Source organism: Homo sapiens, chromosome 1 (genome assembly GCF_000001405.40).
Source record: "Homo sapiens chromosome 1, GRCh38.p14 Primary Assembly".
Classification (NCBI taxonomy): Eukaryota; Metazoa; Chordata; class Mammalia; order Primates; family Hominidae; genus Homo; species Homo sapiens.
Window position 1 is genome coordinate 156,666,887 of NC_000001.11, and position 18,054 is coordinate 156,684,940.

Consider the following 18,054-nt stretch of genomic DNA (forward strand, 5'->3'; position numbering starts at 1 on the left):
CAGATATGATTTCCACTGAGAAGCCCTTGTTTAACTGGTAGGTAAAGCTGCCTGAGTGAGGAAGCACATTGTTCTTTATCTTGGCTCCCCAGTGCCTGCACAGCGCATGGCATGTAGTAGATGCTCAGTAAATAGTTGTTAACAAATGATGACTACTCCTGTTCTCACCACCAGGAATGTCCCTGTTACTGTCCAACCCTCATTCCTCTTGCTGCATTGACAGACAATCACTTCCAAAGAGAACACGCCTTCCACGACATATATCCTTAGGGAAGTCCTCGCTTCTACCCTGTTTGAGATTATTGGCAGCAATGGCCAGTTTGGTAACTCTATAGGCGATCAGGGGCCCTGTGTGGGGGGTAGGGTGGGCACCAGGCACAGGGAAGGACTGCTTGGCTAGGCCCCTGTCCTTGGCCCTTGCCCAAGCGGAGGTGCCCAAGGGCCTGGGGAGATCAAGCACAGGGCACCTCTGTCCCATTGGAGGGGCAGGGAGTGGGCCTTCCTTGCCTGGATGCCAATGCACTGGCCCCAGGCCTAGCAGCCTGGCAGGATTAGATAGGGCCTTGTTAGCAGTGGGTACAGGAAGGAGAGAGCGGAGGTTTGGGCTGCCAGGAGGGTGGGGTGGGGAGAGACAGGATCTTGGCCCCTGAGGGATAGGGCATAGCGGCTGTGAAATGGAGCCTGGGTGCCCAAGACAGAGGTGCTAGATGGAGACAGGCAGAGAAGCAGACAGTGAGGGCCTGTCAGGGAGGCCCCTATCCACCTCTCTCTGGCTGGATGACAGAAGTAGGAGCCAGAGGGGCTGGGACTTCATCTTCTCATCTTTCTCCAGCCCTCAGCCCTGAGCCCAAAGGGAGGAAGAGCCTGCTCCTGGACTTGGGATTGACTCCAAACTGGAGCATTTGTTTGGCAGCCCTATCCCACCCCCACCCGCGCTATTTAGAAGTGTCGCCAGATCTTCCTTCCCCGCAGAGCTGAAGCAGCGAGTGGTTTCTATTTGGGTATCCTGACTTCAAGGCCTGCAGGCCCCACCTAATCCAGGAACCCCTGGTCCCCTCCCTGTCCTACACAGGGACACAGAGAGCTCCTGGGAAGTGGGGTGAGGAGGAGACACTGTGGCTGGAGGACCCTCGGGCTAAGCTGCTGCCAGCACAGCACTGTCATCAGCACACCCCTAGCTCCCACCCTGACAGTTCAGCTCCCCCTCCACTTTCCCTTCTTCCCTGCCTCCTGCTGCAGCGTGTGAAGGAAGTCCTACTGAAGAGCTACGCTGTCTTCAGCCTCCTTCCTGCTCTCCTGGGCCCTGGGAGGCTCCCAGGTCACCTGGCCCAGCCTCTCTCATTGTGTGGCAGAGTCTGAGGCTCAGAGAGGATCAATGCTGACCTGAGGCCATGCAGCCAGACTGAGGAAGAACAGGCCTGCCTCTTCCCTCACCCTGCTCCCACCCAGTCAGGCTGAGGAGATCAGGCCAGACAACTTGTTTGGGTTTAGAGACAAGGGGGCTTATTATGCTGGCGGCACCAAGGCACTAATGGGGGGGGGTATACAAGGGTGGGGGTGGCCCCAAGGCCTAATCCCTGTAATCAGTACTGTGGGCAGAGATGATGATGGGCCTGGCTTCTGCAGGCGCTGAGGTCACCTGGACTGGCCTCCCCCAGCCAAGCAACAGCCCCTGGCCCTCCCCAGGCCCCAGCACTGCTCCCTGCAGCTTGGGTCTGTCTGCCCTCATCCCCCCAGGTCCTCCTCTCCTCAGGAGGCAGCCCCTCCCCAGCACCAGCTTCCTCCTCTCCCCCGCCACCCCCCGCCCGCCCCCGCCATCTCTCTCCTGTACTAACCCTGAGGGTCCCCTCTGAGTGGGGGAAAGAAGAGTCCAGACTTTGAAGCGGAGGCATTACTTTATTCAGGCAGGGACTAGCCAGGCAGGGCCACAGCGTGGCAGGGATGGGGGGAGTCAGCACATGGGAGTGCCGTCACCTCCATTAGCCACAGGCCAGACGGCCCAGGAGGGCGTGCTACTGCAGTGAGATGGTGCACTACTGCAGTGAGGTGGCGCAGGGCTGGTGAGCTTGGGCACAAAAGCCAGCATGTCACCCTCCCTTTGGAGAAGCCTCTGGGCCACAGGCCTTTTCCAGCTGACGGGATGCGGAGGGAAGGGGACCTAGTACTATCGGGATTCAGCTGACTTAGCCTATGAGATGGAGCAGGCAAGAGATTCCCTTTGCAGGGTGGGAGGTTATATTCCTACAGCCTCCATTCTTGGAGTAGGCTCCTTTGCCACACCCCTTTTCACCTTAGCGGGCCAGGCCTCTCAGCCAGAAACCATATGTCAAGAGATCGTAAGTTAAGAGTGCTGCTCCTGAGCAGGGAGCGGGCTTGGAGGCGTCCTTCCCCTCCCCGCACCCCTAAGTCCCCAGTGCCGGGCAGATGGTCTTTTCCTAGTCCTCCCCTGAGGACCAGGACTCTCTATCTCCTTCCCTCTGAGTGAACTTCAGGAACTGACCCTGGCCCAGGTGAACAGGAGCCCCTGCCCAAGAGGTCTTCAGAGCACTCCCCTCCTCCTCCTGAAAGGGGCTCCCTCGGTCTCCCTCAGAGACTAGCGGCATTCCTTGCCCCACTTCCTCAGACTGCTCCAGCCCGTTCATCACTCCCCCATTCACATGCTGTGACTTCCCCTCCAAGTTGGGACCCTGGCCATTAACACCAATGATGTCTGCCCCTGGGCCTGCATCCTCCATCCCACTGGGGATCTCTAGAGGGCCAGGGACTTTGTCCTCCCTCTCCAAGGAAACAGGGTCAGACTCTTCCTCTGAGCCAGAAGGCTCAGCACTGTCCTGGGACTCCGTTTCCAGGGCAGTCTTGGGGGCACCAGCCACTGCACCCCTCAAGCTGTCATCCCAGGGGACACTGACACTCACAGAATCAGACTCCAGGAATTCCCCTCTCTGGGAGCTACTCAGGGCCTGGAGGCTGCCAACAGAAGACCCTGGCCCCCACCGCCCAGCCCCTGGCTCCCTCCCCTCCTCCTGATCCTCCTCTCCCTCCTCCCCACTTTCTTCCTCATCTGCAAACCCATCGGACTCCCCATCTCGATCCCAGGCTGCAGGATCCAGTAGCAGCTGGGGCACCTGGCCCAGAGGTTCTGCCACCTCCCCAGGGACCCCAGGAAGAAAAGGTGCCTCAGTCCCCAGGTCCTCAAATTCTTCTGACAGGTCAGAGTCACGGCCACACTCCTCTTCTCCCTCCTCCCCCTCCTCCTTTTCTGAGGGTGGGGCCTCAAGGCCCTCGGAAGCCAGGACAGCAGGATCCCAGCCCTCCTTTCCAGTCTCCCCTTGAGGGGGTGGCCTCTGCTCTCCAGTGGGGTCCCACCTGGGGGAGGTGGGGGACCTGAGGTAGAAGCCCAGGGGAGTGGAGTCTGGAAGGGTCTCCCCGAGCTCATCCTCCTCGCTCTCTTCTCTGCTCTCCTCCCCTTCCTCCTGGGGGCCCTCGGGGATCTCCCCAGAACCCAACTCCTCCTGCTCGCTCTCTACTTTCCCCAGGGCTTCAGCCCTCCCCTGCACCCCCCAGCTAGCCTCCTGACTCCCTTCAGCCTGAGGCTGAGGCCCAGGGGCATCTTCCAGGATCGGGGTGTACGTTGGGCTGGGGGAGACCAGCACTGGTGGTACATCCTCCTCAGCTTCCTCTGACCCCAGAGGCCAAGGTGAAGGGGCATCACTTCCAGTGTGGCCCAGGGTCTCAGCAGGGAACGCCTCCTCTGCTCCCCTGGGGGCCTCAGCCTCTGACTCCTCCCTACCCTCCCTGGGAGGCTCCCAAGGGTCTCTGCTCTTCCCAGGCAGCTCGGAGAACTCTGTCCCCAGACCACCTGCCTCCTCTAGGTCCTTTCTAGGCCCTTCCAAGCCCTGAACCCTCTTTGCCTCCAAACTCTCCTCTTCCAGGGGTGGTTCCATCACCTCTTCCCTGGTCAGATGGCCTGGGTCCCCCAGCCCTCCCACCCCCTGCCCCGGGCCTGGCTCAGCTCCCGCAGCAGACTCACCCATGGCAGGCTCTGACCCCAACATGACCTCTGGGGAGGCTTGGTCACCCCCTGGGGCCACATCATCTTCCACCAGGGGCTCTATCGCCTCTGGCAGCCCCTGGGGAGCCTGGAGGCCTGGGGCCCCCACCTGTTGTGATTGCCCTTCAGGGTCCTGGAGGCCCTCAGCCCCTCCCTTCACACTGGCTCCCTCAACCAGGCCTCTCTGCTCTTTGGGCTCAGGGCTCTCTGGGTGCCCCTCGCCTGGGATCCAGACCTCCTCTGTGGCATTCAGCTCTCCCTGCTCTACCACCTCCTCCTTCCCAGTGAAGCCATCCTGCTCCCTCAGATTCAGCTCTGCCTCATCCTCATTTTCCACTCCAGCCATCCCAGGAGGGCTTTCCTGAGCCAGTTCTTGGTCCTTCTCCACCGTATCTTCCCACCTCTGCACATCTGCAGACTGCGGCAGCTCCTGTCCCTCCTCCTCCAGAGACCTCAGTGACTCTTGGTACTCTCCCTTTCCCAGGTTCTCTTCCTCTTCCAGATTCCTTTGACTTTCCTTGTCTACCTCCTCTGGAGATCTCAAATTCTCCAGGTTCCATGCTCCCAGAGATCTCAATGATTCCTGATTCTCCTCTTCCAGGAGTCTGAATGTCTCTTGGTTCACTTCCACAGACTCCAGTGGTTCTTGAATTTCCTTTTCTAGAGGATTCATTGCCCCCTGATTTATTTCTTCTGGAGTCCACAGTGGTGCTTGAGTTTCTGGAGATTTCAGTGTTTCCAGGTTCTCTTGTCCCGCAGACTTCAGTGATTCTAGGATCTCTGTTTCTAAAGATTTTACTGCCTCTACGCTCTCTTCTTTGAGTGACTTTAAGAACTCTTGATTCTCATTTTCAAGAGGTCTAGCTATCTCCTGGTCAAGAGACTTCAGTGGTTCTAGATCCACTTTTTCTGGGGGTCTTAATGTCATCTGATCCTGTTCCCCTAGAGACCTCCGTCGCTGTTGAGTCTCTTTTTCAAGAGTTCTCAATGTCTCTTGGTCCTGTTCTTCTAAAGACCTCAGTGATTTGTGATTCTCTGTTTCTAGAGGTCTCACAATACTCTGGTCCTCTTCTTCTAGAGTCTTCAGTGGCTCCTGGTTCTCTTTTTCTAGAGATCTAAAGGCCTCTTTGTTCTCATCTTCAAGAGACCTCAGGGGTTCCTGATTCTCCTTTGTCAGAGGTCTCAGTGCCTCCTCATCCCCTACTTCTGGAGATCTCAGTGGCTCTTGATTCTCCTTTTCCAGAGCTGTCAATGACTCTAAGTTCTCTTGCAGAGAACTTACTAATTCTTGATTTTCCGTTCCTGGAAATAAAAATGTCTCTAGATTACCTTCAAGAGATTTCATTAGTTCTTGATTCTCCTTTTGCAGGGATTGCAATGTCTGTGTGTCCTCTTTTCCTGTAGGCTTAAGTTGGCCTACAGCCTCTTTTTCTAGAGGTCTCACTACCTCCACATCCTTTAATAGCTCTTTATTTTCCTTTTCTAGACTTTTTAGTGTTTCTAAGTCTTCTTCTAAAGACCTCGGACATTCTTGATTCTCCCTTTCTAGTGTCTCATGGCTCTGGTTTTCCAGAGTCTTCAGTGACTCTTGAATCTCCTCTCCCAGAGACTTCAGGGTTTCTTTTTCCAAAGGAACCTGGGAGTCCTGGATTTCCTTCCTGTTTAGATCCTCTTCTTCCCATATTTCCTGCTGCAAGCTGCTTACCACTTTGCCCTCTATGGCTGTTTCTTTCTCTACCAACCCCCAGATTTGCCCTTCACCTTCCCCTCGGCATATGCTGAACACTCTAGACCCACCGGATTCTCCATCCTTAGCCTCTAAACTGGAGTGGTCAGGGCTGAGGGGTGGTGCCAAGGAGGCATGGTCCTCTGGGGACTGGCCTGTACTGGCCTCTTGCCGCTGGCCCCCAGGCTCCTCTGGTCCAGGCAGGACGCTGGCAGGAATGGCCACCCTGGCTTCAGCCCGCAGGGGCTCTGGAGCCTGTTTCCTCCCACCCTGTGTCTGGAGCAGAGAGAGAGGAGCATCCTGGGCTCTGATCTCTGCATCTACAGCAGGAGAGGGTGCCTGAGGTGTGGGGGGGATGGGGGTGCTGGCCAAGGTAGGGGTACGGGCCTGGAGGAATTCTTGGTTCTTAAGAAAGGCTGGCACAGGTGTCTCAAGGGTAGCAGGCAAGGGTGAGGGGAGGGAAGTTGGGCTCAGGACTGGGAGCAAAGATCCAAGACGCCGGCCCTCTGGGGTCCTAGGGAATTGCAGCTCCAGCTTGGGGTCTGGAAAGGCAGAGGGGGAAGAAACAGCATCAGTATATCACTGGCAATGAGGGGAGCCACAGAGCAGCCACCGCTGGCAAGAGTATCCATGCGCCTGCCCCTGGCGCCCATGGCTGGGCTGAGAGCATGCTCACTGACACTGGAGGCCACGGACTTGAAATTTAGATTGGTGCCTCTCGGGAAAGATAGGTCTGGGTATGAAGAGCAAAGCAGGGTAGTTTCTGGGGGAACTTGGCCCCTCCTCTTACCCTGAAAGCTGAGGGAAGTCTTGGAGCCACCGCCAGGTGTTTGCAGCCGGGAGTTCTCAGCCTCCAGGAGGGTCCTGGAGAGGACAGAGGGAAAGTGGGGTCAGCCCTCTGCCCCCAGGCCTGCAGGCAGCAAGCCAGCTGGGGACAACTCAGGCTGAGCTTGCACCATCCAGGCCCTGCAGGCTTCCTCTTCATTTGACACTGTCACACAAAAGCCACACTCAGGGTGAAATCACACAGTCACATACCCACAGACATCACACACTTGGTCACACAAAGTCACACTGTATTTGGGATACACAGCAGAGCTCAGACATAGAAGCAGATTCCCACACAGTCGGACATTGCCCTACACACACCCACACAAGGCTTAGGCTAGCCTCCTCCTCCCACCCCAGGCCAATGACCTCATCCTCTGTGTGGGGGACCGATTCTCATGCTAATTGCTGCCATTGTCCAAGCCACCATCTGGAGGGTCTGAGAAGGAGAGGATTCTGGGGAAGTGGGAATTCTCAGGCCGTTCCCATGGGATGGGCTCCCTCCTCCTTCCCCGGTGGCCCCCAGAGCTAGCGACAGACAAAAGCAAATGAATTCAGCTCCCCCTCTCCAAATCCTTTTCATGCCTCAAAAAATAGCAGTTAAATTCCTCGGGGCCCACCAGACCCTTCCCCTTGGTGGCTTCACTGGGGGTCAGGGCCCTCATCTCAGGATCTCTAAGCACTCTGGATCCCAAGCTCTTCGGGGCACAGAGGTCTTTGTGTCCAGGCCCCTTCCTCAGCGCCCCTTGAACCAAAGAGGGGAGCAGGGACCAATCAATTCAATAACTTAGGATGAGCAGCTGCTCCTCTCTGCTTTGCTCCATGATCTCTGAGTCTGGTTAGCACTCGCTGTAGCCTCACCTCTGTCCTTGCCAGTGCTGCGGCCTTCCTTCTGGGCTTCTCTTCCCTGGCGGTGGAGCCCCTCTCCTCCACGTCCTCCCCAGAGCCTCACTGACCTTCCATCTCTGGGCCTTGCCTCTCCTCCTTTCCTGGATCTCATGTGGCCCCTCACCAGCCACAGAGCCCCTTCCTCAGGCCCCATCAATGGCCCCTCAGCCAACAGGACCAGTTTCCCAGAAGAGACTGCGGGCTTTGCCCAAGGCCACATAGCAAGTGAGAAGCCACCCCTCCTTGGTCTCAGCCATTTCTAGGATAACAGAAAATGTGGACAATGAAAGGCTGGGCAGGACCAAGGGCACTAGGGGCATCAGAGGAGTCTCGCCCCATGACATCCAGGCTAGAAGAGGCCTTGGAAGTCCCCCAGCCCAGCCCTCAGCCCCTAGACGAGGCTGAGGCCCAGGTCAGGTGGCAAGTCAGTGCAGCCACCCCATGCCTGCAATGCCTCCTTTCCGTGGCTGCCAAAGGACATGACCCCCTGGGTGCGGGCACACATAGAGTTGGAGCTTTGCCCCTTGGGGGAAGGGTCTGGATGCAGTTGCCCCACACGGGCCCAGCCCCTCTCCAGAGGCTGTCCCGCTCGGCAATATCATCTCTCCTGGGGGGATTTCCTGGGCACAGGACATTGCTCAGGTCTCCAGCCTATGGGGGAGCAGACGGTTTCAGGCAGGACATGTTCCGGTGTGGAAGTGACCAGCCTAGAGTCACAGAACCCAGTGGCAGCAGAGTTGCCATCACCTACACCTCTGGTCCCCTTCAGCCACGTAGTCTGCCCCAGCATGTGTGTGTGCCTCTGTGTGCCTGGGTGGACAGGGCTCGTCTCGTACCTGTACGTGGCCACCTCCAGGCTGAGGGACATCTTGAGGTGCGCCAGCTGCTGCCGACCTTCCAGGACCTGAGCGATCTGGCTCTGTAGGCCCTGTTTCTCCTGCTCCAGGGCCTCCACAGCCAGCTGCAGGGCAGGCGAGAGGCAGTCAGTGGAGGGGCTGGGGTCCCTTCTGTGAACCAACCTGCCTCCTGCCCGCTGCCGCTGCCCGGGAAGCACCTCCTGCTCCCTGGCTGACTTATCTGTGTAGCAGACCCCCGCCTCCCCTACCCTATTCCCTGCCCAGAGAGCCCCCTCTGGATCAGCCAAGATGAGCCCAGGGCCCCTGTCAGCACTCTCAGCTCTCTCCCATGGCCTGCTCCTCCTCTGAGGATGCTGATTAAATGGTAGCACATGTTGCTCAGAACACAGCTCCCACAGGAAGGGGAGGTGAGGGAGGAGACGAGATGGGTTATGGAGAGAGAAGAGGGGGAAAAAAAAGCGAAAGCAGAAGGAAAAACGATTAATCAAGATGCCTGGAGCCTGCAGGACTGGAAGGCAAACAGCCCCCGTCCCCCGTTGGTCCCATCTCCCACAACTGTCTCCTGCTCCTCACAGCAGGCTCTCACCCCCGCCCCACCCCCATTTCCCACATGTTCTGGATTCTGTCTCCTCTGAGAGGAGGGATGGGGAGGTGGCCATGGCACCTCTGTGTGGCCCAGGCAAGAAGCTGTTTTCTCAGCTGCTGGTCACATCTGTGCCCTGTGAGAAGGAGCAGCTGTTATGGGCCTCTGGAATGTGCTCCAGGGAGCCGAGAAGCCATGACATGGGAGGGGGCTGGTAGCCATTCATTCACGGCCCCTCACTCCTCCCCTCAGGAGAAGGAGGGCTGTGAGGAACTTGGTGATTCTGAGTGGCCAGGCCACCAGATTCAGCGCAGAGGCGACAGTGCTGGGTGTCCTCCTAGTAATACCAGAGCCTGGGAAGGGACCCGGAGCCCCGGTCATCATCAGAGCCAGAAGGTGCCATCCAGAGAGTGGCGGGGCTGCTGCAACGGGTCTTGGGCCTGACTGCCCACCCGGGATGTGCTTCGAGAAGCCCCACCATTCGCATCCTACACTAGACGGGCTGTAAAAGTCTAGGACTTGTGGCACCAGGTTTCTGAGAACTGGCTCCTGATTCAGCAGCCAGCTAGCCCCACTCCCTTCCCAGAAGGTCTCTGAGCTTCATAAGGGACTTTCTGGAGCTTTCTGGGACTTTCTCTCACCCAGGCCCTCAACCTCCTCACCTGGAACTTTTCAGTAGCCCGCAGCCGCTCCTGCCAGCGGCCCTCCAACCTCTGTTCCAACGCTGCCCTGCGCTCCAGGAGGCCTCCGCGCTCAGCCTGGAGCTGCTGCAGCTCCAGGCGGCCCTCGCGGGCACCCTGCACCGCCCGGCCCAGCCGCTCGCGGGCCTGGCCCAGCGACGTCTCCATGTGTGCCACGCGCTCCTGGTAGCCGCGCACTGCCCCGCGCCACGCCTCGCCCAGTCGCCTTGCCAGCTCCTCTACCTCCGGGGCCGGCGCGGGAGGCCCGCGGGGCGGCGCGGGGCAGCGGGGGGCACAGGCAGCCTGCGCGTTCAGGCCGACGCGCTCCTCCTCGTGCGCCACGCGTAGAGCCTCTAGCTCGCGCTCCAGCTCTGCCACCTGGCTACTCAGCCAGGCCCGGGCGCATTTCTCTGCCTCGACGGCGCGCCGGTTGCGGGCTACCTCCTCCGTCGTCCGCTCCCGGGCCAGCCGCAGCTGCTGGCATCGGCCTGCCACGCCCTCCAGCTCTTCAGCCAGGTTGTCGCGCGCCACCTCGGCCGCGTGCTTCTCCCGCCAGCGTTGGTCAACGAGGGCCCGCAGGGCCGCCAGCTCGTCGTCGGCATGCGCCCGCCAGGAGGTGTCCGCGGATTGTGCCCGGAGCCCCCCGAGCTCCGCGCTGAGCAGCTCATTCTGCTCCTCCAGCGCCTTGACCCGGGCCAGGTAGGCCTCCAGGCGCCGATTGAGCTCCCACATCTGAAACGACTCCTCCCCCATGCAGCCCTCCATCCTGCTCGTCTGACCCACTGAGGATGGACAGACGCGGGGCACCGGGAGAAGGGAGCGGCTCGCAGAGCTTTTAGGACGGAAGAGAAAAGAGACCGACGGGGACAATGACGGGGCGGGGCGGGGTGGGAGTAGCCTGAGCGACTGAGAGTCGGGAGTGGGAGCGAGGCTATTCATACTCCCGCCAGGCGGGCGGGAAGAGGGGCGGGACCCAGGCCTTAACCCCTTAGAGGTCAGAGAGTGGCAGCAGCCTCTGTTCCTGCTTCCCCAGGGTGCTGGAGAGTGGAACCAAAGAAGAAGCTGTACCATGGAGAATCGGATCTGATGGTGGTGGCTTTCTGAGGGAGGAGGCTGTGAAGAAGGGTCACAATCCCCGAAAAAGGCAGATAATGCACAGAACTGAGCCTGTGGGGGTGGGAGTACCAGGACGTTCCAGCCTGGGAGGGAGTGCAGTCTCAGTTACTCAACACATCCGAGAGAGGTATCACTTACTGAATTCCTCTAAGACTCAGTTTCCTCATCCATAAAATGTGAGCAATGATGGAAATCGCATGGCTGCTGAAAAAAATGGATGTGGCCAGGTTTTTGTTTTTCGTTTTTGAAATAGCAAATGCTCCTCCTCCTGAAATACTGGAGAGAGTACTACAGCATTGCAGAAAGAAGCTAGAGAGACGCTGCCTGGAAAACAAGAACAAATGTCTGATATTAGGACACACGGATACACACACACACACACACACACACACACACGCACACACGCTATTGCCTGAGTCTCCATCAGAAAAGGGAGCGACCAGGTTAAGGGCCGTCATGGGCTTAAGAACGTTTGTCCATCCTTCCTACAAGTCTTCTGTATAACTGCGAGGTTCAAACATCCGCTTTAGGAAGTTCTGTTCTTGGGGAAGGGCCCCTTCTCCCGCACCCCCTGCCAGGGAATGTTGGGTAGTGGACGCCCTCTGGCGGCTTTCAGAAGTGGAAGCAGCAGGAAGAGGCCATTCTTTTCCTTCCTAACGACTAGCCCAAGTTTATCCAGCCTTTATGATGTGCCCAGTCGTGTTCCAATATTTTACTTCCATGATCTGACTTAATCTTCAAAACAACCTTTTAAAGATTCTACAGTTTATGAAGTAGAGAGCTCACCAAGGGTGAGAGTAGTAGGGAAGGCTTTCTGGACGGAGTGCATCCTTGAGCTGGGAGGTAAAGGACAGGTGGGATTTGGGGGATTTACAGTGAAGGAGAAGTAGGGCTGGGGAGGAGATGCAGGGATAATGAGACGGAGGGGATCTTTGGGGAAGGCGTTTCTGATCAAGCTGCTAAATCCAATTTAGCTCAAGTGTTAATTGAGTACCTACTATGTGTCAGCACCAAAGAGATTGCAGGAACTCTGTCCCAGCCCTGGAAATGCTTATAGTTTGGTGATGTGAGGTCAACAGTGATGGGCACTCATAGTCTGTTGGTGGAGGTAAACATAAAAAGATGACTACAATACTTAATCAGCCTCCAAGGTGCTGGGGACAGAGCCAGGCAGCACAGAGGATGGAGAGGGTTTTCTGAGTAGAGGGTACAGCCGGGTCAATAACCAGGAAGTCATCCCTCCAATATCCCCTCCCCTTGAGGAGTCTCTCAAGGACCCCATCCCTGTCCCCAGGCCAATGGGGCTTTGGAATTCACCACCAATATGTAGAATAGAGGCCAGGGAGGGGTTAGTGACAGGACATTGACTGAGAGTCAGTGCAGGCCGGGAGGCTGAGGATCTGGGATGCCCAGGCTCCTTCAACCTTGCATTACCTCATAAATCCTGCTGTTTGGTTTGGGCTGAGGGCTCCCCAGAGTTGTGGCCAGCAGAGCTTGCTTGGAATCTCCTCCTCTCTTTCTTTTATTTTTATTTTTATCTTTGAGAGGGAGTCTTGCTCTGTTGCCCAGGCTGGAGTGCAGTGATGTGATCTCGGCTCACTGCAACCTTCGCCTCCCCGGTTCAAGTGATTCTCCTGCCTCAGCCTCCCAAGTAGCTGGGATTTCAGATGCCTGCCACCATGCCAGGCTAATTTTTGTATTTTTAGTAGAGATGGGGTTTCACCATGTTGGCCAGGCTGGTTTGAACTCCTGACTTCAGGTGATCCACCCGCCTTGGCCTCCTAAAGTGCTGGGATTACAGGCATGAGCCACTGCACCCGACCTCCTTCTTTCTTTCACTTTCTGTCTGGGAGGAGAGGGATGCTAAATGTTTGAGATCCCCTGGGATTCTTGGGGGCGGTCCCCTAAAGAGGTAGGGTGGCATTGGGCTGGGGGTTCCTCTCTGAACCCCTCACCCTCACCCAAAGGGGAGACATTTGGAACTGTGTCTCATGCAAAGATTAGCTGACTTTTGCACTTTCTAACTGAATGACATTGGACAAATCACATAACTTCTCTAAGTGAGCCTGAGTTTACCTATTTGGCAAAGCAGGTTAATACCCACCTATCCCTATAAGTTTGTTCTGATAATCAAATAAGACCAGGTATAGGGAAGTCTTTGTATAAAGCCTTTTTTGAGGACCGTCACAATGAAAGCCATTAAGCTAAAGAAAACCTCCTCTTGTGAATCACTCTTGTGAGTTTTAGGAATTATGGGGAATAGAGATTGTTAAGAATTCTGGGGAAGAGTGTGGTGTTGATTTTCCTAAAACAGGAGATGGTAGGTTCCAGCATTCACAACCTAGAGGATCTGACGTCAGTGCTTACCAGATTCTAAACAGATACCTGATATTTGAGGTACTTAGAGAAATAAGGCCCTCCCTAGAGAAACTTAGGCCCTCCCTTCATCTCCTTCCCTGGTGACTGCATTTAGTTACTGGGATGTTTGTGGGGCCATTGGCCGTACCTTTTATTGGGTCTCTGGACCCAGGACATATGAACTATGTGGTACTACAGCTGGTGGATACAAAGTCAGCCCAGCAGTCATCCCCAGAGATGGCCATGAGCAAGCTTAGTGGGTTCTGTGTGCTGCCCCGAGGGAACCTGTCCTTGGTCCTGACAATTAAAAGTTTTAATTAAAGACTTGAATGAAAACATGGAAGCCATGTTTATCAGATCTACAGACTATGCAAGAACTGAGAGTTATATTTTAGCAAAATAGAAAAAAAAAACAGATGACATTTAATAGGGATAAGTGTAAAATTCTGCTTTTGGTTTCAAAAAATCAACAGCATAAGAAGAGGAGAATAAAGACCGGCTGAAGAGTAGGGAGTGTCTAGCAAAGAAGAAAGAGCTGGGGGTTTTAGAAGACTACAAGCTTGTTAGGAAGAAACCAATACTGGGTGGCTGTCTAAAAAAGTGAAAAGGATAAAAGTGACTATAGATTCAAGGTGTCCAGATGAGCAATGGCAACACTCCCATTGCCCTCCACATCTGGAGTGTTGTACTGGACACTATATTTTAAAAGGGACCTTGATGGATTGGAGTTAATCCCAGAAGAAGATGACCAGATGGTAAGGGATCTTGGAATAATGTTTTTGTATTTTTAATTTTTAAATTTTTTAAAATTTTATTTATTTATTTTGGAGACAGTCTCGCTCCATCACCTGGGCTGGAGTGTAGTGGCGTGATCTCGGCTTACTGCAACCTCTGCCTCCCCGGTTCAAGTGATTCTCAGTCTCCCGAGTAGCTGGCACTACAGGCTTGTGCCACCATGCCCAGCTAATTTTTTGTGTTTTTTTTAGTAGAGACGGGGTTTTCACCATGTTCGCCAGGCTGATCTCGAACTCCTGGCCTCAAGTGATCTACCTGCCTCAGCCTCCCAAAGTGCTGGGATTACAGGCGTGAGCCACCACACCCGTCCCAGAGTGTTTGATAAAGACTTTCTGAATGAACTTGTGTCTAAGCTCTGAAACTAAAAATAATGGCCTCTGAGTAGCACACACACAGCCTAAAGGAAATTGCCAGCCCCCACCCTGAAGGCCTTCTCCCCACCGAAGTCTGCATTAGAGAAGGCAAGCGGAATGTGAGGAGACTGTGACCAGCAGCACTGGAGTGTGGAGTGGCCAGTCCAGGATGGCAGGCTGTGGCTTTCCCTCCTCTGCTCAGAGGGCAAGGATGATGCCCACCAAGGAGAGTGGGTGCAGCCTCCCCAAGGAAGGACTCCTCAAGGCAGGGCCTGCCAAAGGACACATTGGCATCCCGCTCCAGGCCGGCTGTCTTTTAGGGTGGAGGACTTGCTCATCCACTCTCTTAGCCTCACTGAATAAGGGACACAGAGCCTGGAGAGAGATGAATGGGGAAAGGAGAGGGGCACAGGAGGAGACAGGTGAGATTCTGTGGGCCAAGAGGACCCCACAAACGGAGCCCCCATGGTGCAGCCGGCTTGGGTGTCACCACACCCAAGGGAGCTTCACGTCTGAGGGAGGTTGACTGTAACACTAGGTAAGTGGCACCTACCCCTGTGTCTTCCTCTCTCCTACAGCGGGGAAATAAGCCTCAGAGGGGGCCACAGGGGTGGGGGTGGGTGCAAAGAGCAGAGCATTCCTCTCCCCAGTGCCAGCCTTTGGACCTGGGGCCAAGCCTTGGCTAGCAGGTAATGAAGAGTGTTTTAATGGGACAGGAGATTGAAGTTTAAAACTGGGTCAACTGAACTATATAGGACTTGTATAGCCCAAAGTACCTAGAAAGCTCTAGAATCTGCCAAAAAGTCATTATAAGACAGGAGGAGGAGATACAACAGAACACTGCAGGCGGTGGTCGGACAGATCTAAAACTCTTTCATTTTTGTTACCTACCCTATCCCTTACCTTCTTTGCCTCACAATGCATGGGCTAGGGCAGGGGCCAGGAAGTCGCTCTTGCCCTCATCCCTAACTTAGCCCCTCCTCTACTCTGCCTTTCCCTCCACTTCCCAGCTAGACAGGTCTTACTGGACGCATGTGGCAAGGATAAGGTCAGCAATGAGTCTTAGAAAAGAGATGGGGAGAAGGAAACAAACAGGAGAAGGAAACCAGGTGGCAGGGGAGCAACTTTGAGAAGCTCTGTACCAAGGCACCTGGGAAGCAGGGAAAGGGAAGGGCCTCTTCTGGGCAGCCTGGCTGGGACCTGGGAGCTCTGCATCCTGGCTGGGCCCTGCCTTTCTGTCCTGCTTTTCCCCGGCCACAGGAGGGAGGCTTGGAGCTGGCACCAGTAGGTGGGAATGTCCCTTCTCACTCTATTTTCTCCTTTCCCTGCTGGAGGGATGATGGGACTGGCTTTCCTGCCCTCTCCTTCCCTTCATGTCCACAGCAGGAAAGGTGGCCTTCCCATTCTCTGTCCTGGGGGTAGAAGCTAAGGAGCAGCCCAGTGGAGTGAAAAAAACATTGAACGGGGAGCCCTGTGTCACTATGGGATATTTGAAATAATCAAGTCACCCCTCTGGGACTTGGTTTCCTTACTGATTTATTTTTTTAAATTCTACTTCCTTTTATTTTTTGAGACAGGGTCTCGCTCTGTCACCCAGGCTAGAGTGCAATAGTGCAGTCATGGCTCACTGCAGCCTTAACCTCCCAGGCTCAAGCGATCCTCCTGCTTCAACATCCCAAGTAGCTGGGACTACAGGCACGTGCCACCACACCCAGCTAATTTTTTATTTTTTATTTTTGTAGAGAAGAGGTCTCACTGTGTTGCCCAGGCTGGTCTCAATCTCCTGAGCTCCAGCAATCCTCCCACCTGGGCCTCCCAAAGTGCTAGGATTACAGGTGTGAGCCATCGAGCCCAGCTTTTTTTCTTTTTGAGACAGGGCCTCACTCTGTCACTCAGGCTGGAGTGTAGTGGTGCTATCAGGGCTCACTGCAGCCTCGACCTCCAGAGCTCAAGTGATCCTCCCACCTCAGCCTCCCGAGTAGCTGGGACCACAGGTGCATGCCACTATGCCCAGCTAATTTTGTTTATTTTTTGTAGAGATGGGGTTTTCCTGTGTTGCCCAGGCTGGTCTTGAACGTCTGGGCTCAAGTGATCCACCCACCTCGGCCTCCCAAAGTGCTAGGATTATAGGTGTGAGCCACCTCACCTGGCCAAACAATATTTATTAAGCACCTATTGAATACCAGGTGCATGGCAGGCACCCAATAAATGTTGCAAAGGAATCAAAGGTGACCGATATGGAGCCCTTCCCCAAGGAGCCTATGGGTGTGTTAGAGGGCAGGCCTGGGAGCCAGGGAGTATGTCCCGTGCAGACAGGCAAGCATGAGCAAGGGAAGTTAGAGGAGGGGGCAGGCATGGTGAAGGGAGGAGCATCGGCCTTTGTCCTCTAGGCAGCGAGGAGCCATGAAGGGTTTTAACCTCAACCAAAGGGTAGCCTGGTCAGATTTGCATCTTAGAAAGATCATCTTGGAGGGTTGGGGTAGTGGCGAGTTAGAAGGCAGTTGCCACTAGCAAGGTTGGATGAGACCTGAGCCTAGGGGTGGAGAGGAGGGAAGAGACATGAGAATTTCTAGGCTGTGTGTGTTCCAGGATGAGTTAGATGTGGGTTTGGAGGGAGGGGACAGGGAAGACTCCCAGGTATGTGGTTAAGCCTTGGGGAAGGGGAGAGATAGTGGCATGGGGGAGATACAGCAGCTTCCAGATATGCAGTTTTAGGATTGGGGGCTGGGATAGAGATTTAGAAGGATGCTGCCTGGTTAGAGTGGATAAAGGGCGACTAAGAGCATGGATGAGGTCGCAGAGGATAAGGGTAAGGGTATAAAACAACAAGCTGTTCCCTTTTAACCCTAACTCTCTGGGTCTGTGGGGTTTTTTGTTTGTTTTGTTTTTGTTTTTGTTTTTGTTTTGAGACAGAGTCTCACTCTGTCACCCAGGCTGGAGTGCAGTGGTGCAATCTTGGCTCACTGCAACCTCTGCCTCCCGGGTTCAAACAATTCTCCTGCCTCAGCCTCCCGAGTAGCTGGGATTACAGGCACGTACCACCATGCCTGGCTAATTTTTGTATTTTTAGTAGAGGCAGGGTTTCACCATATTGGTCAGACTGGTCTCGAACTCCTGACCTCAGGTGATCCGCCTGCCTCGACCTCCCAAAAGTGCTGGGATTACAGACATGAGCCACCACTCCCAACCTGGGTCTGTGGTTTTGATGAGCAACTTCAGAAAAGCACCCTGCCCACTTCCTCACTCAGCGCAGGTCTCTGTTCTGCAGAAAGTAGTGGGTTCTGTTGGGGCATGGCCACCAGGGGCCATTATTGCCTCAGGAAAAGCTACATTCTCTGGGAAACAATTTTTGAAAACCTTAAGATTTGCATAGTGAGACAGGTAATATCACCATCATTATCATCCAGTTTTCTACCTGAGGAAACAACTCAGAGAAATTGAGTAACCTATCCAAGATCACACAGCTAGAACTTGAACTTCACTTCTGACTCAGCCTGTACCTCCTTCTTTCTGGGAAAGAAGGCGATGTTGGGGGATCAGAGGATGAATCAGAGAGGAACTAGTAGGGAGCCTTCAGTATCTTTGCCATTCCTCATGCTCCTCCTACCATCTCACTCAGGGCCAGCTTAGCTCCCCTGGAGCCAGGAAATGACCAGCTCTGGATTCAAAACCCTCTCCCTAGGTTAAAATCTAGTCTTCCTATCCCATCACCACCCACCTACCTAGTTTTTGGGAGAAGTAAATAGAGGAGAACTAAAGGCCAGGTGGGGCTGGGCTGGAGCTGAGATTAGGGGGCCAGGGTTAGGCTGGGCTGGGCTG

At 55.1% G+C, this 18,054-nt stretch overlaps 1 protein-coding gene across 1 annotated transcript, besides 5 other annotated features; it reads right to left on the reverse strand.

Annotated features, from left to right (window-relative positions):
- Positions 47-620: an enhancer, noted in NCBI's record as "H3K27ac-H3K4me1 hESC enhancer chr1:156636725-156637298 (GRCh37/hg19 assembly coordinates)". NCBI's record gives its function as "activates a minimal SCP1, AML or CMV promoter by ChIP-STARR-seq in naive H9 embryonic stem cells {active_cell/tissue: H9 hESC(naive)}" and the evidence as "EXISTENCE:reporter gene assay evidence [ECO:0000049][PMID:30033119]".
- NES (nestin) lies at positions 1,877-10,521 on the reverse strand. The gene is made up of 4 exons (NM_006617.2): positions 9,596-10,521; positions 8,330-8,454; positions 6,568-6,641; positions 1,877-6,319 (listed from the first exon to the last, which is right to left on the reverse strand). The coding sequence occupies exons 1-4, from the start codon at positions 10,376-10,378 to the stop codon at positions 2,436-2,438; spliced, it is 4,866 nt and encodes a 1,621-aa protein (NP_006608.1). The 5' UTR covers positions 10,379-10,521; the 3' UTR covers positions 1,877-2,435.
- Positions 6,156-6,816: an enhancer, noted in NCBI's record as "OCT4-H3K27ac-H3K4me1 hESC enhancer chr1:156642834-156643494 (GRCh37/hg19 assembly coordinates)". NCBI's record gives its function as "activates a minimal SCP1, AML or CMV promoter by ChIP-STARR-seq in naive H9 embryonic stem cells {active_cell/tissue: H9 hESC(naive)}" and the evidence as "EXISTENCE:reporter gene assay evidence [ECO:0000049][PMID:30033119]".
- Positions 6,817-7,478: an enhancer, noted in NCBI's record as "OCT4-NANOG-H3K27ac-H3K4me1 hESC enhancer chr1:156643495-156644156 (GRCh37/hg19 assembly coordinates)". NCBI's record gives its function as "activates a minimal SCP1, AML or CMV promoter by ChIP-STARR-seq in naive H9 embryonic stem cells {active_cell/tissue: H9 hESC(naive)}" and the evidence as "EXISTENCE:reporter gene assay evidence [ECO:0000049][PMID:30033119]".
- Positions 8,801-9,461: an enhancer, noted in NCBI's record as "H3K27ac-H3K4me1 hESC enhancer chr1:156645479-156646139 (GRCh37/hg19 assembly coordinates)". NCBI's record gives its function as "activates a minimal SCP1, AML or CMV promoter by ChIP-STARR-seq in naive H9 embryonic stem cells {active_cell/tissue: H9 hESC(naive)}" and the evidence as "EXISTENCE:reporter gene assay evidence [ECO:0000049][PMID:30033119]".
- Positions 10,123-10,783: an enhancer, noted in NCBI's record as "H3K27ac hESC enhancer chr1:156646801-156647461 (GRCh37/hg19 assembly coordinates)". NCBI's record gives its function as "activates a minimal SCP1, AML or CMV promoter by ChIP-STARR-seq in primed H9 embryonic stem cells {active_cell/tissue: H9 hESC(primed)}" and the evidence as "EXISTENCE:reporter gene assay evidence [ECO:0000049][PMID:30033119]".

Excerpts from the sequence above, each read along its gene's own strand:
- NES (NM_006617.2), bottom strand. The coding sequence starts at position 10,378 with ATGGAGGGCTGCATGGGGGAGGAGTCGTTTCAGATGTGGGAGCTCAAT. Across the intron at positions 8,455-9,595 it reads GGGCTACTGAAAAGTTCCAG|CTGGCTGTGGAGGCCCTGGA; the intron begins GTGAGGAGGTTG and ends CCTGCCCTGCAG. Across the intron at positions 6,642-8,329 it reads CTGGAGGTGGCCACGTACAG|GACCCTCCTGGAGGCTGAGA; the intron begins GTACGAGACGAG and ends TGTCCTCTCCAG.